Source organism: Homo sapiens, chromosome 2 (assembly GCF_000001405.40).
Source record: "Homo sapiens chromosome 2, GRCh38.p14 Primary Assembly".
Taxonomy (NCBI): Eukaryota; Metazoa; Chordata; class Mammalia; order Primates; family Hominidae; genus Homo; species Homo sapiens.
Genome location: NC_000002.12, coordinates 72,476,364 through 72,497,678, shown reverse-complemented (window position 1 = coordinate 72,497,678; position 21,315 = coordinate 72,476,364). Strand labels below are relative to the sequence as shown.

General features: G+C 35.5%; 1 protein-coding gene across 13 annotated transcripts in view; it reads left to right on the top strand.

Moving 5' to 3' along the window:
* Positions 1 to 21,315, top strand: part of EXOC6B (exocyst complex component 6B) — a 650,050-nt gene that overhangs the window by 328,355 nt on the left and 300,380 nt on the right. For 11 of the 13 annotated variants that reach the window (NR_135774.2, NR_135773.2, XR_007071495.1 and 8 more), the window contains 4 exons: positions 1,120 to 1,225; positions 2,140 to 2,249; positions 5,250 to 5,361; positions 16,929 to 17,063. Coding sequence is in view for 10 of the 13 variants with exons in the window: in NM_001321734.2 (NP_001308663.1) it covers positions 1,120 to 1,225; positions 2,140 to 2,249; positions 5,250 to 5,361; positions 16,929 to 17,063 (463 nt within the window). In the remaining 3 variants the exon portion in view is untranslated. The remainder of the gene's footprint in view (positions 1 to 1,119; positions 1,226 to 2,139; positions 2,250 to 5,249; positions 5,362 to 16,928; positions 17,064 to 21,315) is intronic. The other 2 variants (NM_001321733.2, NM_001321730.2) reach the window with 1 other exon arrangement.

Genomic DNA, 21,315 nt, shown 5'->3' with positions numbered 1-21,315 from the left:
GTTTATGAACATATCTCTGATCATCACTTAGTCCAATTTATCTGTATATTAATATAAATATTTATATTTCTAAAACCTAGATTTAGCTAATGGTATAATTGTATTTAAGGGAGTCTTATCTCTATAGGATATTTGAAAATTAATAACATGATATATCCATAGTCTTAGATGCTCTGATCTGACGCCTTCAGTGAGTCTTCTGTTTTGATTTTGGTAGTATGTTCCCTACTATTAGAGAATGCCCAGTTTATTTAAGGAGAGAGAACCTATCGATTTAAAAAAAGTCATCCTTGATATAGAGCAGTAGGTAAAGTAAATGAAAATAGTTTGAATTTATTATTGAAGTTACTCTGTTTGCCAATTTTGAAAGTTAGAATAGAACATGATTTTAAAAACCTTATCAATGGGCCAGGTGCAGTGGGTCATGCCTGTAATCCCAGCACTTTGGGAGCCAAGGTAGGAAGATCCCTTGAGGGCAGGAGTTTGAGACAATCCTGGACAACATAGCAAGATTATATCTCTACAAAAAAATTAAAAATTAGCCCGATGTGGTGGTGAACAACTGTAGTTTCAGCTACTTGGGAGGCTGTGGCGGGAGGATTGCTTGAGCCCCAGAGTTTGAGGTTACAGTGAGCTACGATCATGCCACTGCAATCCAGCCTGGGTGACAGAGCGAGACCCTGTCTCTAATAATAATAATAATAATAATAATAATAATAATAATAATAATGTACATTTATATATCATATTAAACCAAACAGAAAATATCTTTGCCTTTTCTAGAGCACACATTCTTTTGTTGTTTACTTCTCACTTACATTGAAATGTTCTGTCCTATTTGTAAATCTCAGTTCCTAAGAGATATGTTTATAATTGTGGTCCATTTGTTTCAGAGGATAGTTTTCTTTTTGTCTTCTTTAAATCCAAAACCAAATAGCTATATTGTGGAAGGAATATAATAGGGACTGGGAAATGTTCATTTTGGGTTGTGGCATATATATTAAGATTGGAGTTCATCAGAAAAATATTTGTGATTAACCCACCTTCCCTCTGTTCCCCTCCCCTACCCCCCCACTTTGTCTATCCTTCCCTTCCCTTTGTCTATCCTTCCATTTATAGAAACATACTTGATTCTGACAACTACAGTCCTATACCAGTAACAAGTGAAGAGATGTACAAAAAGGTGGTAGGACAATTCCCATTTCAAGATATAGAACTGGAAAAGGTAAGGAATACTTTAAAATAAATTTCTCTGGTTGTTTTGGCATCCTCTTAAAAGCTTTCATTGGATCAGTTTGATTGAAAGCATTACCTTTAACTCAATGGGTTAGAACTCTAAAACAATTTCAAAGGATTCTTTTTTCTTTTTCTTTTTTTCACTTTAATCACCTTTCTGACGATGAAGGATTCTTTTTGGGGAAGACCAGAATTTCCTGATTTGGGAATCAGCAGATGGCTTTGGATCCTATTACCTCTGAAGTGTTTGGAGGATTGCTGCGGATGTTCTAATTCAGTTTACACTTTGAAATACTTGTTTTTATTAAAATTTAAAGACATTTTTTCCCCACAACATAAAATTTACACTTTGTGGTGTACAATTCTGCTGATTTTGACAATGTATTGAGTTATGTATCCATTACCACAATGTTGATACCAAATAGCTCTATTATAAAAAAAAAATTATTTAATGATGCCCCTTTGTAATACCCCTCCCTTAACCCAGCCCCAGGACAGCAGAAACCTGGGCTCTGTGCATCTACTTTTGCCTTTTTCAGAATGCCATATAAATGGAATTGTGTAGTATATAACTTCTTGAGACTTACTTCTTTGATATAACATAATGCTTTTGAGATTCGTCCAAATTGTTGCATGTATCATTGTTCATTCATTTTTATTGCTGAGTATGTAACACAATTTGTTTATCTCTTTCCATGATGAAGGACATTTGAATTATTGTTTTATTTAAATTTATGTCTTTTTAATATCAGAAAACTTTGGGAGATATTTTCTTATATTTGAGTTTGTTAAGGAGACAATTCACAATGTGAAAGAATGTTCTTTTTGCAACCTAAATAATTTATAAATATCTTCAATCTTCGTTGGTTTGTGACTTGATTTCATTACTTCTTGCATTTACAGCAACCATTTCCAAAAAAGTTTCCTTTCTCTGAATTTGTGCCAAAAGTTTACAACCAAATTAAAGAATTTATCTACGCTTGTCTGAAGTTTTCAGAAGATCTTCATCTAAGGTATAATACAAAATAGTAGAAATGTAACCAATGCTAAGATTGTGACTCCATGTATTTACATATTCTGAAAAACTTTTGATAGTCCCGTCAGCCCTGATTTTGGAAATCTTAATAATTAGCTTTTCACTGCATGGCACTGCTGTATTTCTATAGTCACGATGAAAGAGAAGATTGGTAACTTTTGCATAATTTTGAAAATTTATATTATCTATCTTATTCTTTATAGATTTGCATTTCAACACTTATTAATGACAGTTTACTAGAAAATGGTAGGCTGGATGCAGTGGCTCATTTTTGTAATCCTAGCACTTTGGGAGGCTGAGGCAGGAGGATCGCTTGAATCCAGGAGTTCAAGACCAGCCTGGGCCACATAGTGGGACCCCCATCTCTATAGAAAAAAAAATAGACAAAAAATACTGATTTTGACATTCTACTTAATGAAATGTTAAGGCCAAAAGGGGAGTATCAGATAAAATCCTTTGGAAACACTATTGCTCTACTTGTATATGTATATTTTCTATACGTGCTAGAGTGTAGGCTCCTTTGTTTCTTTATTCATGTATTGGTTTATTCACCGTAGATTTTGGCTAATGTATTATTTGTCAGATGCTGCTTGGTATAGAAATAATTAAGTTGCTGAAAATGTGGTCCCTGTCTTCAAGGAGTACCTAGTCTAATTAAGAAGCTGAACAATTAATAAGTGCTGGAGCAACATACAAGCCAAGCCAAACACAAATGAGGATGTTTGTGTTCCATCCTTTTGTAGGGTGGAAACATTTTATCTTTGTTCAACACAATATCCCCTGTACCCAGCTCGGAAAATTTTTTTTAATGAGTGTATGTATGAAATGAATGGAAAGCATGGTATGCCAGGCTACTCTGAAAATAAACATAGTTGGGGAATAGTTTGAGTCACTTCTTTGTTAACTATTCTTACTAAGAAAATAAATGAAACATGGGGTTTGTACAATTAATTTGTCATTTTCTCTGAAAATGAAATTGTTTTCATAGAAATGTTCTCTTGAAAATAGATTGTCTTTTGAAGTTACAAACCAAAACTTTTTTACCCTGGGTTTCCATCCCCCACCTGCCTGGCCTCCACTTCATTAATATAAGTGACCTTATATCAGATAATTGTCTGTAGGGTATGTTAGGTATATTATTGTAGATAAATCATTACAAGTTGATTGCAAAATTACTTTTTCTATCTTCTTTTGGAAGAAAGGTAATATGGTAAAGGAATAATATTAGTAATGGGATAATGTCAGATGCCTTTTTCTTGCCTGAATATGTGAAGTTTTTGCCTGAAAACTTCCTTTGATACTTTTCACATTTAATATTTAAATAAAATATTTAACTTGGGGATTTTAGAAAAAGCTAGATGCCTTTTACTCTTCATTTGGCATTTATCTTATATCCTGGAATATGTTTACCTTATAACTTGGAGTGACAGAGATTGCTTTGTCAGTCATATCTGTTTTGGAGGCTAACATGGAACATGAGACAATTTGTATAAAAACCATTATTTCTTTTACATGCAGGCTCTCAAAACAAGAGAAACCGCTGCATTCAGATTTTAATGCAGCTTTAAGAATAATTATTCTCTTAGTTTTCTCTTTTACACTAGACAGAAGAGGCCAAAAAGCATTATACATATTGACAAAATTTGTAATTGCATGAATTCTGAATACGTAAAACTTTCTTTTTGAAAGAAAGATTTTTTTAAAATAGCAAACACATGGCATTTCTATGGTAAAATACTCTTCTAGCATTCATACTCATCTTAAAAAAATAGAATATATACACACCCACATACATACGCGAGAGATCCTGTTTCACATTATATTAATAAAATTAAATGTTTTTAAAGAATTCAGGCGATAAAGAACAGCGCAAAGAGGGACAATGTAAATGACCCAAAACTCTACCACATAGTAATAACACTTCTGATATGGTTTTTTTTTTCTTTTAATCTTGCTTGCATGTGAATACATGCACAAACAGCATTTTTTTAAAGCAAATTACTGCAAAATACTTCTGTTTCTGTCTACAGTATAGAAGACTGGAAAGAATATTGCTTCCTATGTAAAAATGCGGGGGGGGGGGGGGGAGAAAAACAGAGAAGGTACAAAATTAAAACTTTTTTGGAACTCATCAGAGAGGCGAAGTCAGCAGGAAACTAAGTAGTCCGAAAACCATGATGGGACTGGTCCCTCTAAGGGGACAGACTCCTGCACCTGTGGCAGAATAGGAAAGGTGTAACTACCATTCATGTGAGAAAGACAAAATCAACTAAAGTCTTAATGTATTGTTAACAGTGTACTGTGAGCTAGCATGACAATATAGAACCCAGAAGAAAAGGTGAAAGAAATAGAACAAAGTGCCCAAGATCTGTAGGGCATTTTCAAATGGTAGATTAAAGTAGAAGACTGAGATAACTGGGAAGAGGAAATACTTTAAATTAAAGTGGCTGAGAGTATTCAAAAAAATAATGAAAGGCATCAAACAAGAAATTCAAGATTTTGAGAACCCTAATTCAGATAAATAATAGCAACAACAAGAAACAAACAAAAATATTTAAAGACATCATATTCAAACTGGTGAAAATGAAAGGTAAAGAGAATGTTTAGAAGGCATTCCCAAAAATAAAAATTACATGATAGTATAATGATAAGAATTATAATAGACTTCTTTTCTGAAACTATGCAAGCCAGAGAAAATGGAGTGACATCCTTAAAGTACTCAAAGAAATAAAGAAAAAAAAACAGCCAGAATTCTATAGACAGAAAAACAATTTTCAAAAATGAAGGCAAACTATTTTTTTTTCAGCCAACAAAAGCTAGGAGAGTTTATTATAGTACTTTTTCTGACTTACAATAAGTATTATTTGCTGCTGCTATTATTATTTTATTATTATTACCACGAATACCACTGGCACCGTTTGTTTGCCGAAATAATTCTGCTACCTGCTATGACTGACTCTTAATGCTTCTTTTTCAGCTCAACTGAAGTTGATGACATGATTCGGAAATCAACAAACCTGTTGCTAACCAGGACTCTGAGCAACTCTCTGCAGAATGTAATTAAAAGGAAGAATATTGGGCTTACTGAGGTAAACCTGCTCCTAATGAAGGCAGCCGAGCCAGTATGTGAACAGATGTCCTAAGCTCTGGGCCTTATGTCTGAATTCGTTAAAACTTTCTACATGCTCTTCCTGATAGGCTTCTAATGGTGAAAGTGCAAAATGAAATCTCTTGTTCTTTTCTTTGGTCACCTTTGAAAAATTTATTTATTTTTTTCTAAAAAAGTCGTTTTTCTCTTTGTTTTCACTAGCTTAACTGGTTTTCCTTTCTGAAGTTGTTAGAATACATTTCTGTTACCTGGCATTGATTATACACAAATATTTTTGTTTGTAGAATATATTGAGCATCAGGTTCCAATCAAGTGAATGGCAGTTCATGTACAACGTAGAATATGAAATCACATTTTGCTTGCATCAGTTATTGATACCTAGGATAATGCAATCATAGTTCTTGGTTAGTGTCAGACTCAGCCTTTATTTTTAAGATATCTCATATGTATGAAAGGTAAATTACTCTTTATCAGCTTGTAGTTTGTTTGCAAAAGGACTAGATATTTGGGATCAAGGGAATGTGTAGAAAAGGCAATAGTCACATTTCTGTGGAGGTTTATGGAATCTCATAAAAAGAGGAGGGATATTTTACATATATTGAATGTAGTACCTTGGCAAACGAGATTTGGTCTATTGGTGTGTAGTTCTAAAATTTAGAAAGATGTGAAGTTCTCTCCCTTGGAAACTCAAGATTGCGTAGTAACCTCAATCTGTTTTTCACTGGATGTTATAGTGCCTAAAGTGAGAGGAGTTTAGAAGAATTTTTTTTCACAAGGAAAGGGAAAGGCTGTTTGCCATCTGTTTTACCTATAGAGGTGGTGCAGTTTGGAAGTCTGTTACTCTAGGAAAAAATTGACATTTAAAATGTACACTGTCAAGGATTATGGTGAAGCGCAGCAAAAGGTTAATGATACTGACCTATAGGTAAAGACAGCTGGAAGCCAGGTGGGCATTTACTTCTGATTTTGGAGTTATTTTCTCTTTCTCTGAATTAAGATAAAAAAAAAATAAGATGGGACATTGGAAGTGATTGAGTTCTACTTATAGCAAACTTTTCTTTCAATTGAAAATTACCTTAGACTTTATTTGGGATAATCCCCTCATTTTACAGAGCTTCCTTTCTATTGCCTAGTACAGAAATATTAGGCATTTGCCTTTATGTATCTGAAAAATAGCTAACCTCCTTTATAATCAAGAAGGTTACAGAAAAGGAAGGTTGGAGTGAAAATTAGGAAGTCCTCCTGCTTTTGTTAGATTATAGTGTTTTCTTTTTCTGGATGGGAAGTTTATTATTTATTTTGTGAACTATCTCTTCATTATAACTCTTCATGTAACTGTTTTTATGTCATTTAATTTAGCAGTCTCTTAACAATTTTATAACAAGTAGCATAGCAAGAACATGGTCTGATAGAAATAGCTTTGGCCTCAGAAGAATCTTGGGTTCAGTTCTGGCTGAGCCATTGGTTTACTGTGACATTTTAAGAGAAAGGCGTAACTTCTCAGCTTGGGTTTCAGGAAACACTGTACGGGTCAGGTAATAATAGGAAGAACAAGTACGAAGTTATCAAGGAAGAACCGTGTAATTTTGGCACCATTTCATTGAATACTAAATGTTATTCCTTAGTCATTGGGTGTTTTTAGGGAACTATACTTTCAGTATCTTTGCATATGAATGAAGAAACATGCATACGCTTTTGTTTGTTTTGGCTATTATGGTGGTGTGTACATGTATAGACACATACACATAAAGTGATTTTTTTTATTACTAACGAGATACACTTTGAATAATTATACTACCTACCTTTGGAAAGAGAAGACACATCCTTTATGAGTAACTAAAGTGAGTTCACATCTGGAATCATCATCATAATAGGTAACATTTGTGGAGCAGTTTATATTCTTCAAAGCTCACTCACAAATTTGATTTCAGTTAGTACAGTAACATTTGAAGCAGGCTGGGCATGTGTTATTATTCCCATTTTATAGACAGCCTAATTAAAGTCCAGGGAGATTGCTTGAGGTCATACAGCTAGCAAACATGGTAGAAATGAGACATAAATCTAGGTTTTTTTCCCCAAACCTATCCACTTCTACTGTATTGTACTGCCTTCCATATTGATTTAATTATTTCATCCTAACAAAAATTGAGATTTTTACAGGAGGTCCATAGTAACATGGATATTGTTTTAGTCAGAGATAATAGAATTATGATAAGCCCACAAAATTTACAGATTCCTATTTCAGCATGTCAGATAATTCTCTTAGGAATTGGAAGTTCCTATAGACAAATGTCTCTCTGCCTGCCCTTCTTGTTTTGGGGTTACACAGTGTTTGCTCTGTTTTGGGGTTACACAGTGTTTACTCTGTTTTGGGGTTACACAGTCTCTTCTTTTTCTATGCATATGCTCTATCTTTTTTCCTCATGGCTTCTTTGTTTCTCCATGTTGAGCCAATTCAAAATTACCTTTCAGTTTTAGCACCACTAGAACATGAATGCCTTTCTTTTTCAAACTTTATGTGACTATTCATTATTTTTTTAGCGAGAATGGCTATTTTCCTAGGGCTGCTTCATAAGGTCTATGAAAAGTGTAATTGAGTATTGGTTAAGACTGTATGTTCTAATATATACTGCCTGGGTTCCAATTCTGGCCCTCCTCGTAATAGCTGTGCCCTTGGGCAAATTACTTTGCTTTCTATGTAAAATGGGGATAATGGTAGCATGTATTTCACAGGAATGTTGTGAAGCATGTAAAGTACTTACTGTGCCTGGTATATAGCAAATACTCAATGCATATTACCTGTTATTATTAAGAGGTCTAAGCAGTCAAGCACTGATTAATACTAGTATAGAAATGGAGTTTTTTAATTAAGAGAAGTAAAAAAAATTAGAACAAGAGGTTCTATTAAGATAATTTGTTTATTACCTTTACAATTTTTAAAATATGTACTCTCTATTAGGCACTGATTCCATGCCCTTAAGATAAATCAGTGAACAATAACAACAACAATAGAGATCCTTGCTTACATTCTACCAGAGAAAAACAGATAATAAATAATAAACAAAATAATTAAGTCAATTTTGTAGTATGGTTAAAGGTAGTGAATGCTATGGAGAGAAGAAAAAGCACCTGGGTTAAGGAAATCAGGATTCTAGTAGATGTTCTAGGTTGGTTTTATTTTTATAGCAGCACCTCGAGGGTAAGTTATTATTGCAGGAGAAATTTCAGGTAGAGATTAGAGCCAGAGCAAAGGCCTGAAGGTAGGAAAGTTCTTGGCAAGTTGAGGGAAAAATCAGGAGGCTAGGGTAGCTGGAGTGGAGTGAGCAAGGGGAAGAGAAGCAACTGGTTAGTTTAGAGAGGTATCAAGCATTCATGGTAGGCCGTCGTAAAGCCTTTTGCTTTTATTTTGCGTGAAATGGGGAGCTATTGTAGGATTTTGTTTAATGACTTGATCTGACTTATATTTTGAGAGGATCACATTGACCATGGTAGTGAGAATATACTGTAGGATGGAAACAAGGGGACTAGTTAGGGAATTATGGCAGAAATCCAGTGAGACTGGGTGGTAGCTATGGACAGTGATAAGATTTTAAGTGTAGAGCCAGCATGCTTTCCTGATGATTGGATATAAAGGAAGAGAAAAAGTGAAGAGTTGAAAGTAACTAACTCCAGGATTTTTTGACTTGAGCAACGAGAAGGCTGTATATACCATGAACTAAGATAGGAAAAATTTTAGGCAGAGCTAAATTTGCTGTGAGAGAACATTGGGAATTTGATTTTAGACATATTAAATTTATAGTGTTTATTAGACATATAGGTTGAGATGTTGAGTAAGCAGTTGTGTATATGAATTTGCAGATTGGAAGTGAGGTTTGGCCAGGGGATAAAAATTGGGGAGAATATAAATATTTATATTCATGCTACTGGATACTATCACTGAGGGAATGAATAAAGATGGAGAAGAAAAGAGGATGAAAATTGAACTTTTGGGTACTCTGATATTAAGATATCAGGAGAAAAGAGGAACCATGAAAGGAGATTGGGAAGGAGCCACCAGGGAAGTAGGAAAAAGCAAAACAAAAAAAACAGGAGTGTGCATAAATTATATAAAGAATGAGAGAGTGATGAATTATGACAAATACTGCTGATTGATAAAAAGAAGGTGAAGAATTGCCATTGGATTTAGCAATTTGGAATAAGTTGGTGACCTTGGTAAGAGCGCTTTTAATAAAATGGTGGAAGGAAACTCCTGATTGAGTAGGTTTTAAAGAGAATGGCTCCTGCAGAGAGGAATTTCAAATAACTAATATAGATACTATTGCCACTACAAGGTGATTGTGAAGTGTGCTTAGTGACTTGTTTCCAAAAAGTATAGGGTAGAATGAGGAAAAAAGTAACCTTACAGTGAAGAAAACTGGCAGACGCTGCCTTGCTCAAGTGTTCCAGGTTAACATCATCAGTGATGTTATGTTGATAGTATGTACCTTTCATATGATTTGATGAGAGGGCACTTTGCCTCTGTGTTCTCCCTCCCTAAACCCATGAGCCCAGTCTAAGCATGGGAAAACATTAAACAAACAAAAATTGAAAGACATGCTATAACATAGTTGACCAGTACTCCTTAAAACTGTCAGTGTAGGATTCGGCACAGTGGCTCACGCCTGTGATCCCAACACTTTGGGAGGCTGAGGCGGGTGAATCACGAGCTCAGGAGTTCGAGACCATCCTGGCCAACATGGCGAAACCCCGTCTCTACTAAAAATATAAAAATTAGCTGGGCATGGTGGCACGTGCCTGTGATCCTAGCTACTCGGGAGGCTGAGCCGGGAGAATCGCTTGAAATAGGGAGTTGGAGGTTGCAGTGAGCCGAGATTGTGCCACTGCACTGCAGCCTGGTGGCAGAGCGAGACTCCATCTCAAAAACAAAAACAAAAACAAAACAAAACAAAACAAAAAACTGTCAGTGTAATCAAAAAGAAGGAAAATCTGATAAACTGTCACAGACCAGAGACTAAGAAGACGTGACAACTAAATGTAATGTGGTATCTTAGATGGAATCCAGAAATAGATAAAGAACGTTAAGGAAAAACTAGTGACATCTGAATAAAGTATGGCGTTCAATTAGTAGTAATGCGTTTATGTTGGTTCCATAGTTGTGGCAAATGTACCATAGTAATGTAAGATGTTAACAATAAGGGAAGCTGGGTGAGGAGTATATGGGAACTCTGCAACTTTTTTGTAAATATAAATACAAAACTGTCCTAAAATAAAGAGTTTATGTAAATAAAAAAATTAAAGAATGGGAAAAGAGGAATTAGAGACAGCAAATATAAGACAGCTCTTTCAGGAAATTTTGTTACCAAAGGAAACAAAGAAATGGGGTGATAGCTAGCAGGGGAAGTCGGTTAAGACAGGTTTTTTTTTTTGTTTTATTTTTTAATGGGACAGATAACAGTCTGTTATTTATTGTGGGAATGATACAGTATAGAGCAGAAAAATGGGTGATGTAGCAGAAAGGGAGAAATCTCTGATGCAATGTCCTTAAGTAAGAGAGTTTAAGATAGAATACACAGTTAAAGGGATTGGCATTAGATAGTGTCAAGTTCACCTCTGGTAACAGGTAAGAATCAGAGTGTGTGAATGCAAATGGTAGTGGTTGGGTAAGTATTATGGTGGCAGGCTCCCAAATGCTCAGTTTTCCCAGCAAATGCAGGGTCTTCAGCTAAACCTACAGATGGGAGAGCAAGCATGGGAGTTGAAGGAGAAAGAAGGTGTGTTGAAGTCCTCTAGGAGTGTGTAAAAAAAATTGATTTGTGCCAGATAATGTGATTATTTGGTAGCATCAAGTGCCCACTCTTGACTAGTGTACATGAATTAAAGTGAAACTAGCTAACATGATTGTACATTTTCTTTTTCTTTTTTTTTTTTTGAGATGGAGTCTCATTCTGTCTCTCAGGCTGGAGTGCAGTGGCCTGATCTCGGTTCAGTGCAACCTCCACATCCCAGGTTCAAGCAATTTTTCTACCTCAGCCTCCCGAGTAGCTGGGATTACAGGCATGTGCCACCACACCCAGCTAATTTTTGTATTTTAGTAGAGACAATGTTTCAACATATTGGCCAGGCTGGTCTCCAACTCCTGACCTCAGGTGATCCACCCGCCTCAGCCTCCCAAAGTGCTGGGATTACAGGCATGAGCCACTGCGCTCAGCCATGATTGTGTATTTTCTTAAATCATATTTAGCTGGAAGCTGCAATATATCAGTTCATATCAATACTAGTTCTAAAGAATTGGTTATATTTTCATCTGATACTTTATAATTTACAGTAGTATTTATGTTTAATTATTTATAATATGTAGAAAGAAGTTCAGAGTTCCTTCTGGTGAAACCATATTGGGTATTTGTATTTTTATGATCACAGGGCACTACTGTGATGTAGTGCACTAGACATACCTAATATGGTAGTAGAGACCTGAAGAAATGACTAGTGCTTTGCATTTATTCTTTGCTTTTAGTATAATTTAGATTGTTGACCATATGATTCTCTCCTCTCATTTTCCACATTCCATTTATCTCCCCTCTCTCTTGTTAACAGAAGTGATATTGCTCACGTTGTTAAAATGTTTTGTACTTAAGTCTAGTCAAATATAAACTTTGTACTTTATCTTGGAATTCGTAACCAGGAGTTTCATGTATTTTAGTATTTTAGGTATTTTAATCATGGAGATGGTATAAAATGAGTGGTTGACACAGTTTTTTGTACCCTGACTGGGGTGAAATGGAGATCAAATCCCTTGAAGTCTATGTGATAGCTCATTTTTGTGAATGAGAACCAATGCTACTATTTCATTTTTTGTTTTGCAAATTTAACAGTTGAGAGGCATTGGTGGCATGAAGAAGAGTGTGACTTCTCATTTTCTTCCTTTGGATTAGTCCTGTTGAAGGTTTATTGTACTGAATTGTCTGTTTTGGGAAACATGCTAAAAGCAGTTTTAATATATGCAGATGTGTATACTCCAGAATTAATTTATAGTTGGGAATGGAAACATCTTCTTGGAATTTAAGGCTAGTTTTGAACTATGGAAGATGATGAAGATATTTTCTGGGGTTTGTCAAGAATAGAATGTCATCATGGTTCAGGTTCCACTGGGGTGTTTTGAGCAGGCTTGGAGGAGAAATTACCTCCACAAGAAATAGGAATGCTTTTACACCGTTGCTGGGAATGTAAATTAGTTCACCCATTGTGGAAGACAGTATGGCAATTCCTGAAGGATCTAGAACCAAGAAATAACATTTGACCCAGCAATCCCATTACTGGGTATATACCCAAAGGAATTTAAATCATTCTACTATAAAGACACATGCATTCTACTATAAAGACACATGCACACATATGTTTATTGCAGCACTATTTACAGTAGCAAAGTCACCAACCCAAATGCCCATCAATGATAGACTAGATAAAGAAAATGTGGTACATATACATCATGGAATACTATGCAGCCATAAAAAGGAATGAGATCATGTCTTTTGCAGGGACATGGATGAAGCTGGAAGCCATCATCCTCAGCAAACTAACACACGAACAGAAAACCAAGCACTGCATGTTCTCACTCATAAGTGGGAGTTGAACAATGAGAACACATGGACACAGGGAAGGGAACAACACATACCAGGGCCTGTTGTGGGGTTGGGGATGAGGGGAGGGAATTTTTTTTTTTTTTTTTTTTTTGTGACGGAGTCTCGCTCTGTCGCCCAGGCTGGAGTGCAGTGGCGTGATCTCGGCTCACTGCAAGCTCCGCCTCCTGGGTTCACGACATTCTCCTGCCTCAGCCTCCCGAGTAGCTGGGACTACAGGCGCCCTCCACCATGCCCAGCTGAATTTTTTTTTTTTTTGTATTTTTAGTAGAGACGGGGTTTCACCGTGTTAGCCAGGATGGTCTTGATCTCCTGACCTCGTGATCCGCCCGTCTCGGCCTCCCAAAGTGCTGGGATTACAGGCGTGAGCCACCGCGCCCAGCTGAGGGGACGGATCTTTAAGAGTACGGGTCAATAGGTGCAGCAAACCACCATGACATACATACACCTATGTAACAAACCTGCACGTTCTGCACATGTATACTGGAACTTAATGTAAAATTGAAAAAAAAAAAAAAGAAATTACCTCCAAGGTGTGCTATGTACCTTTCTTGTTAGATTTTCTCCGATACAAGGAAGGAGAGACAGAAAAATTTTCCAATTCTTAATGGTTTTTCACTTAAGTGACTTGTGTCATTTACTTGTGAGAGATAGTCGTTTGATTTATAATGTTCTTTTTTGACAATTCTCATAGAACTTTATGTAAGAGATAATCAATATTTGATCTATTATTAGTTTTATGTCCTTGAAATAATGTTTAGGACAGTTTGGATTACTGCAGTGTTATATATTGTAAGAGACTGGGAAGTAGTCGTTAAAAATATCATCAAGGGAGCTCAAACTCTGAGGGAAGTTATCTGAAATTGCTTCATTTTATCTTTCAATTTGAAATTATGCCCAAAGCCTCTGGTTTTACATTAGTAAATGCCCTTGTAAGGATTTTGGTAGCTGTCATTCAGGAGTAGTTATCACTTAGTCCTCGTTAACAGACAATATTCTCTCTGAAAATGACATGGTATCTACTGTAATCCTAGAGTGTCTCAATAGTCTATTCTATGCTCAGCAATGAAACATTTCAAAAAGTGACTGACAGCCAATTGATGTAATTCACAGTGATCTTTTGTGTTGACAGATCTTTAAAAAGTCATGGGAAATTACTACTGTACCCAGTGAAGCCACCTCCCTTTTTTTTCTTTAACTGCCAATATCATGTAAAACAGGATAATTTTCTCTTTGACTGCCACTGTTTTTTATTTCGATAACATGACATGATTCCTCCTTATTATTAGGATTTCTTTTGATTGGCAGAATGTGTTTCCATAGGTAATACTGATTTTAAAATAGAAATTTTTCAGTTCTCAGATTAACTCTCTTAATTTTCTGACTTCCACATCAAGACAACCTTTCCAGTAGCCACCTTCCCACTCAGGAAGATGAATGATTTAATTCACACAACTTAAATATTTTTAAATGATTTTAGTCCTCCTCTGAAGGAGAAAATGATGAAAGCAAGAGGGTGATGAATTGCTTATTTTGGTGGATATTTTTTCCTAGAGCACTCCAAAGTTAAAAGGTTGTTTGTTTTGGTAATTTTATAGGACGTAGTAGTCTTGTGTTCAAAACTCAAAATTTCTGAATTAAAACTATGGAATGAATGGAAAGGAGAGCTGATGTATATGAACTTGTCTGATGAGTTATGGGGGAAAATATAGAGATCTAGTCCCAGTGTTGCCCTAACTTTTCATCTAAGAGAATTTATTCGAATTGTATCGCTGTGTTTTTGCCCTTTGTTATTGTGTTTCAAAGTAGTTATCTTCCTAAGATTGTCAGGATGATCCTTAGTGGAGTAGAAGGTACACTTTTTCTTAGTTGAAACCAGTACTAAAACATTGTCTTTATGAGTTGACATGTATTTTTTGAGAATGAAGTGTGTGCTTTCATCCTGTGCTGGATGATGTAGAAGAAGTGAGAATGTATTTTCTGATTATAGTCCTATTTGTATTTTTGTTTAATATCCTACAGCTTGATATGATTCTTACTGAATTTAAATTCAAACTTTTTAACGTTGTTTTGAAATATCATGGATTGTAAACATGTGTAGTACCACCCTCATCTTTAGTTCCAGTTTCTGCTTTGTGTCATATGCCACCCCCACCCCCCAACCTCTTGGCTCACTGTCTCACTAGACCAAAAGACCTAGATTAATTCATTGCCTTACACACCAAAACTCCCCGCTACCTGCCACAACCTCACCATCAGACATATTTTTGTGAAAATGGAAAGTAAAGATGTAGAAAAGAAAGACAAAAAAAAGGTCCATTCTATTTCCTGTTTGTATTTCTTTTAGACTCTAAGGAATATGAACATTTTTATGGTTTAATAGTTAAGAAATAAGTAATAGATACCACTTTTTTTCCTCTTCTTTTTACAGACAGTAGAATCAGAGCATATTGGGGTCCAGTTGATTGCAGGCCCAGAATCTTATATTTTAGTCTAATGTACACAATCATGCAGCACTTCAGAGCTGCCATATTATGCTTATGCTAAAAGGCACTGGCAGAGTTATTTAGATGAGTCCATAATTGGAAGGTACAGGACGTAGTATTAGTTTCATTTAGGCTGTGTGATCTAAAGAAAATCACTTCATTTTCATTTCTGTTATAATAAAATGGAAGTTATAATTATGTCCCTTTAACTACTTTTCCAAGTTTTTGGGAAAACAGTGTAGGAAAATGAATCATGAAGGTCTTTAGAATCCTTAATTCTATACAGACAATAATAGTTATTCTTCTTTATCTTCCTCTTCTAGTAATTTATAGAAGACAACTTTTTTTTTAACCAGTACTGTCTTTTTAATGATCTGTTCTATGTAAGAAAAGGGAAATAGTGTTGACAACAGAATATTTAATCCTCACAATAACTCTGTGAAGTAGACATTATTATTGACATTTTACAGATAAAGAAATAGGGTTATAAAAGATAAGAAAATTTCACAAGATCAGTAAGTAATAATAATAAAGTAAGTCATTAATTCCCTGGTTACTTTCACTTTGATGCCCATGTTCTTTCTTCCACAAACTGATGTAGTTTATTAACATATTGTAATCTCTCCTAACATCTCTGTTCATCATGCCTAATTTTGAAACGTCTTGTTGCCATTTTAATGATTCCTGTTCTTTTGGTGATCATTTATTTGTTTAGTTCATTTGGCAATGTTTTAGTTGGAAGGCATCATGCTAAACCGTAGCAATTTCTGTTCTTAGTCTAATCTTTTTTAAACAGAAGAAAACATACCTTTAGAATACAGTGATAAGTGTTCCCATAATATGGGGGAATACAAAATGTTTTGGAATGCTAGGACGTATTAGTCCATTTTCATACTGCTATAAAGAACTGCCCGAGGCTGGGTAATTTATAAAGGAAAGAGGTTTAATTTACTCACAGTTCAGCATGGCTTGGGAGGCCTCAGGAAACTTATAATCATGGTGGAAGGCAAAGGGGAAGCAAAGAACTTCTTCACAGGGCAGCAAGAAGGAGAAGTGTGAGTGAAGGGGGAAGAGCCCCTTATAAAACCATCAAATCTGTGAGAACTCACTCACTATCACGAGAATAGCATGGGGGAAACTGCCCCCATGATTCAATTACCTCCACCTGGTCTCTCCCTTGATACATGGGATTATGGAGATTACAATTCAAGATGAGATTTGGGTGGGGACACAAAGCCTGACCATATCAAAAACTTCCTAGAAGAGGTAACATGAAAGCCCATGCTTTAACATACCCCTTGCCCGAATGTGGATGGCCTTTTCCATTATGCCTTACATTTGTTTTGTACCGGCAGATTCATATTGAGCCATTCATCCTGGGGTGAGTAGTTAAATGACTTTTACATGTGTTTGTTGTTTTCTAGCTTGTTCAGATTATTATCAATACAACACATTTGGAGAAATCCTGTAAGTACTTGGAAGAATTTATCACCAACATCACTAATGTGCTTCCAGAGACAGTTCACACTACCAAGCTCTATGGCACCACAACTTTTAAGGTGAGAGGGCCCTACAGTACTGTGGAACTGCTTCTGGTGTACACAGTCTGGGACGTTCTACCTAACATGGCCTTGTTTCTGTAAGATGGTTTATAACATGCTCTTGAGAATGAGTGTTTATGATATGTTTGGTTTCCCTTCTCTATTTTCTTTGAAAAAATAAATACCAGTGCGAGTTTTTGGGTGTTTAAACAAAACGAAACAAAATGAAACAACTACAACTGTGTCTCTAAACCCTTCCTTATGTTTTGTACATGTAAATCACTATTTCCTAAGTTGAACCCCCATCACAGTCAACAGTTCTTAAGTATGGTCTAGATAATCATAGTTATGGCTGACATTAACATTAATTAAAATTTTCTACTAAGCTGTCCCCTGCTCTCTGTATCCTGTGACCAATTTTTTTTTTTTTTAAATCAAATCTTGCTCTATTGCCCAGGCTGGAGTGCAGTGGTGCAATCTTGGCTCACCGCAACCCCTGTCTCCTGGGTTCAAGTAGTTCTCATGCCTCATCCTCCCAAGTAGTTGAGATTATAGGCGTGTGCCACCATGCCCGGCTAATTTTTAGTATTTTTAGTAGAGACGGGGTTTCGCCATGTTGCCCAGGCTGGTCTCGAATTCCTGGGTTCAAGCGATCCACCCACCTTGGCTTCTCAAAATGCTGGGATTGCGGGCATGAACCACCACACCCGGCCCTGTGATCAATTTTTTAATCTTACTTTTTAGTGAGGAATTTCTGTCCCTGCTTTTCCAGTTAGCAATTTTATAATTTCATATGTCCACAGCACTAGTTTTGATCCAGAGCTGGATCAAATGGGAAGAAATGACAGTCATGTAGAACAAAAGAAGGATTGATGGTAGATGAGTTTCTGGAGAGTAAATGCTATAGCTTAGAGCAGCTTTAATAAACTCCTTCATATTTATGTGAGCTTTAAATAGGTATTAAGCAGTAAAAGTAATAGGACAACATCTCAAACATTAAAAATATGGATCTAACATATAGGCTACTTATATGGTTTGATTTTTTGTTTATATTGTTATTTGATTGTTTTAGTTTTGAAACATATTCCATGTCACCCTTTTGAGATCCAGAAATTGATATTAATTAAATATACAGTTGTAGAGTTGGAACCATGATTTATGTCCCCTGTAGTCTGCTTTTTCCCATCATCTTAACCTCTTTCTCTATTTTTGGTACATTCTTTTGACAGTAGGCGCAAGAGAAGAAATGAAATTTGATTCATACTGCTATTATACTTTATGACAGATAAAAATTTTTGGTGTGACTTACTATTTTTCTATTGTTTGAAAAAAACACAATGTTGAATCAGAAAGTATTCTTTATGTATCTATGTGATTAGGTCAGCTGCTAGGTTAAGTTACACATTCATTAAATTACTGTAAATTATTTGTTTCAAAATGATAATAAGATTAGTTAAAATTCATTACACATAATGTTATGTTCATATCATGACTTACTAATTTTTCACAATGTCTAATGATACTAATTTAGATGTTCTTTTAGTGAGGAAAAGAATGACTTAATAAAAAGGCCCTGAGAATGAGTATGAAAATATGACAAAAGCTTTCAGAGCTTCAGAATGACCTCAGGCAGTTTTATAGGAATTATAATTACTCTCAAATACTAGCATTATTATGGAGCTTGGGCATTAGATTTATCAAAAAAATTTCCATACTTGCTCTTCTGTGAAAGCCAAAATTTCTCTAGGAAAGAAAATGTAAAAGAAATAGTTCAGTGTTAAGTAGATAATAGGGAGTTAGGGAATTAGAACGTGAGGTTCATTTGTCTATCAAAAGAAGAATATGTGGTATCCACTGATACTCTTTCTCTCAACCAGTCTCAATTTTTTATGTCAATAGCTTTTCAACTTATGTTCAGAAATTCTCTCAAAGGATGGCTTGTGTATTTTGTTGTTGCTCTAGCATGAAAAAATGCTGAGGGAAAATTAAAGGCAGACAGGAAGCCATAGGGGCTGAACAGCCAGTTAAATACTTAGTGAAGGAGAAGTTCTGGAGACCACTAAAGGTCATGTTGACAGTGCTTATTGGAAACACTGATTGCTTAAAACACACTGAAAATTTATTTTTTACCAGGGCTGTTTCAGACTAGCTAACCCAGAACTCAATATAAACATGGCAATTATAACAGCTACATGTTGTGTATTTTCCTAAGCTACTGTTTCCAGAAAACTTTCCCTTGCAGATGGAAACCTTTATGCTGGAAAAGGGGTAGAAAGAGTCTGAAGGTCTTTAAGGTATTTTCTTGCAGAGTTCCCTCTTATTTCTGCCATGTGTGACATAATCAAGCTGGCGTCCTTAGCTTTCCTGATTCATAAGATTTTCCTCACTCTCTTACAAAAGAGAATGAAAGTGTTTATTAATTTACTCCATAATAAATATTGCTTGTGTATCTACTGTGTAATCATCTGGTAGATTCTTGGGGAGAGACAGAAAAAGTACTTTGTCCCTGGACTTAAAGTTTATGATTTACAGAGAAGACACCCACTATACTGGAATAATACATTAGATGTATTCAATCTCTCATTTATTGAACAAGTTTTAATACAGTGTCTACTACAAATTAGGAAAAGTTTCAGGCATGAACAAAAAAGTGAGTCTCCTCACTTTACAGAGCTTATATTTTAATGAATTAGTGGATGATAAACAAACAAAAAAATCTAATGTAATGGCAAGTAGTGATAAGAACTAGGGAAAAAAAAATAAATGACCAAAAAGAAGTGAGAAATTAAATCATTTGGATTTCTGATGGATATGCATTCCTGTCAAAGGGGACAGCACAGTGGTAGGTATGGATGTGTTCAAGAAATAGTAAGGGGGTCAGTCTGGCAATGATGTATCTATCACTAATGGTATGGACGATAAGAGATGAAGTATTCAGGAGTTAAATTATTTCTGGCCTTGTAGGCCATCATAAATACTGTACATTGTATTCTGAAATGAGATGTGATGTCATTAGAAGATTGAGTTGTGGGGGGTAATGATCTGAGTTATCATTTAATGTGATACTGGTTTTTATGTGGAAATAAATATATTGTAATTTAATAAAAGGGGAAGAAGAAAGTCTAATTGGGAGGTAGTTGCAATACTCCAGGCAAGAGATAGTGGTCACTTGGACTAGAGTGGTAGAGGTAGAAGTGGTAAGAAATATTTTTGAAGGTACAGATAGCAGGTCTTAGTACTAGATTGGGTGTGTGTATTAAGAGAAAGACAGGAGTCAAAGATAGTTCCAAAACTTTTGAACAGAACACTGGATGAATACTGTTTACTGAGATGGGGAACACTTAGAGAAAAATGCATTTGGAAAGCAGAAATACGATCAAGACTTCCATTTTTGATACATTAAGCTTGGTATGTTTAATTCATAGCTATATAGAGGTATTAAATTGGCAGGACAAAATCATAGCTAGAGATAAAAATTTAGAGTTCACCAGTGTAAAGATGATATTTGATGGCACAGGATGGACTTTCTTCTGGGATTTGAGTATACATAGAGGAAAGATGTGAGGATTGAGCACCAGGGGACTTCAACATTGACAGGCTCAACAGAGGAGAATTCCCAAGAGGATGAGGTTCCACCTTTAGGACCGCCAAAGAAGACTTCCCAGACAAGTACAAGTTGGAATGGATCTTGGAACCAGCAGGATATTTATAGGCAGAGAATGGATATAGAGGGAGTGAAGGATATTTTAACTTCATGTGCAAAGATTAAATGATAAAATAAAGCCAGTATTCAGCATAGAATTAGGATGGCAGTGAGATACCGAAGTAGATAAATACCAACCTGAGAAGCACTTTGTTTTATATTAGTAGATAATTTGGACTTTATTCTAAAGTCTTTGAAAGACTTCAAGTGAGGGATGTTGCATTTAAAAAAATAAACATTCTACTGTGCTTCATTGAAAGGAAGGGAAGAACTAAAAAAAGGAAAAGAAAAGATGAAAGTAAGGAAGGAAAGAGAGGAAAGAAGGAAGAAATAACAACATCAATCACAATTACTCACAGTTCAGAATGAGAGGAATTGAATTCCTAAGACTGTAACTCTGTGCTAATAAATTTGAGGACCTATAGGGAAATAGATATGATGTGATAAGGAAAAGATATGAAAGAGGATAGCTTCAAGATGACCGACTAGAGGTATTTCATACTCACCTCCTCCACTAAGAAGAACCAACATAATGAGTAGATGATCACATTTCAAATAGACCACCCA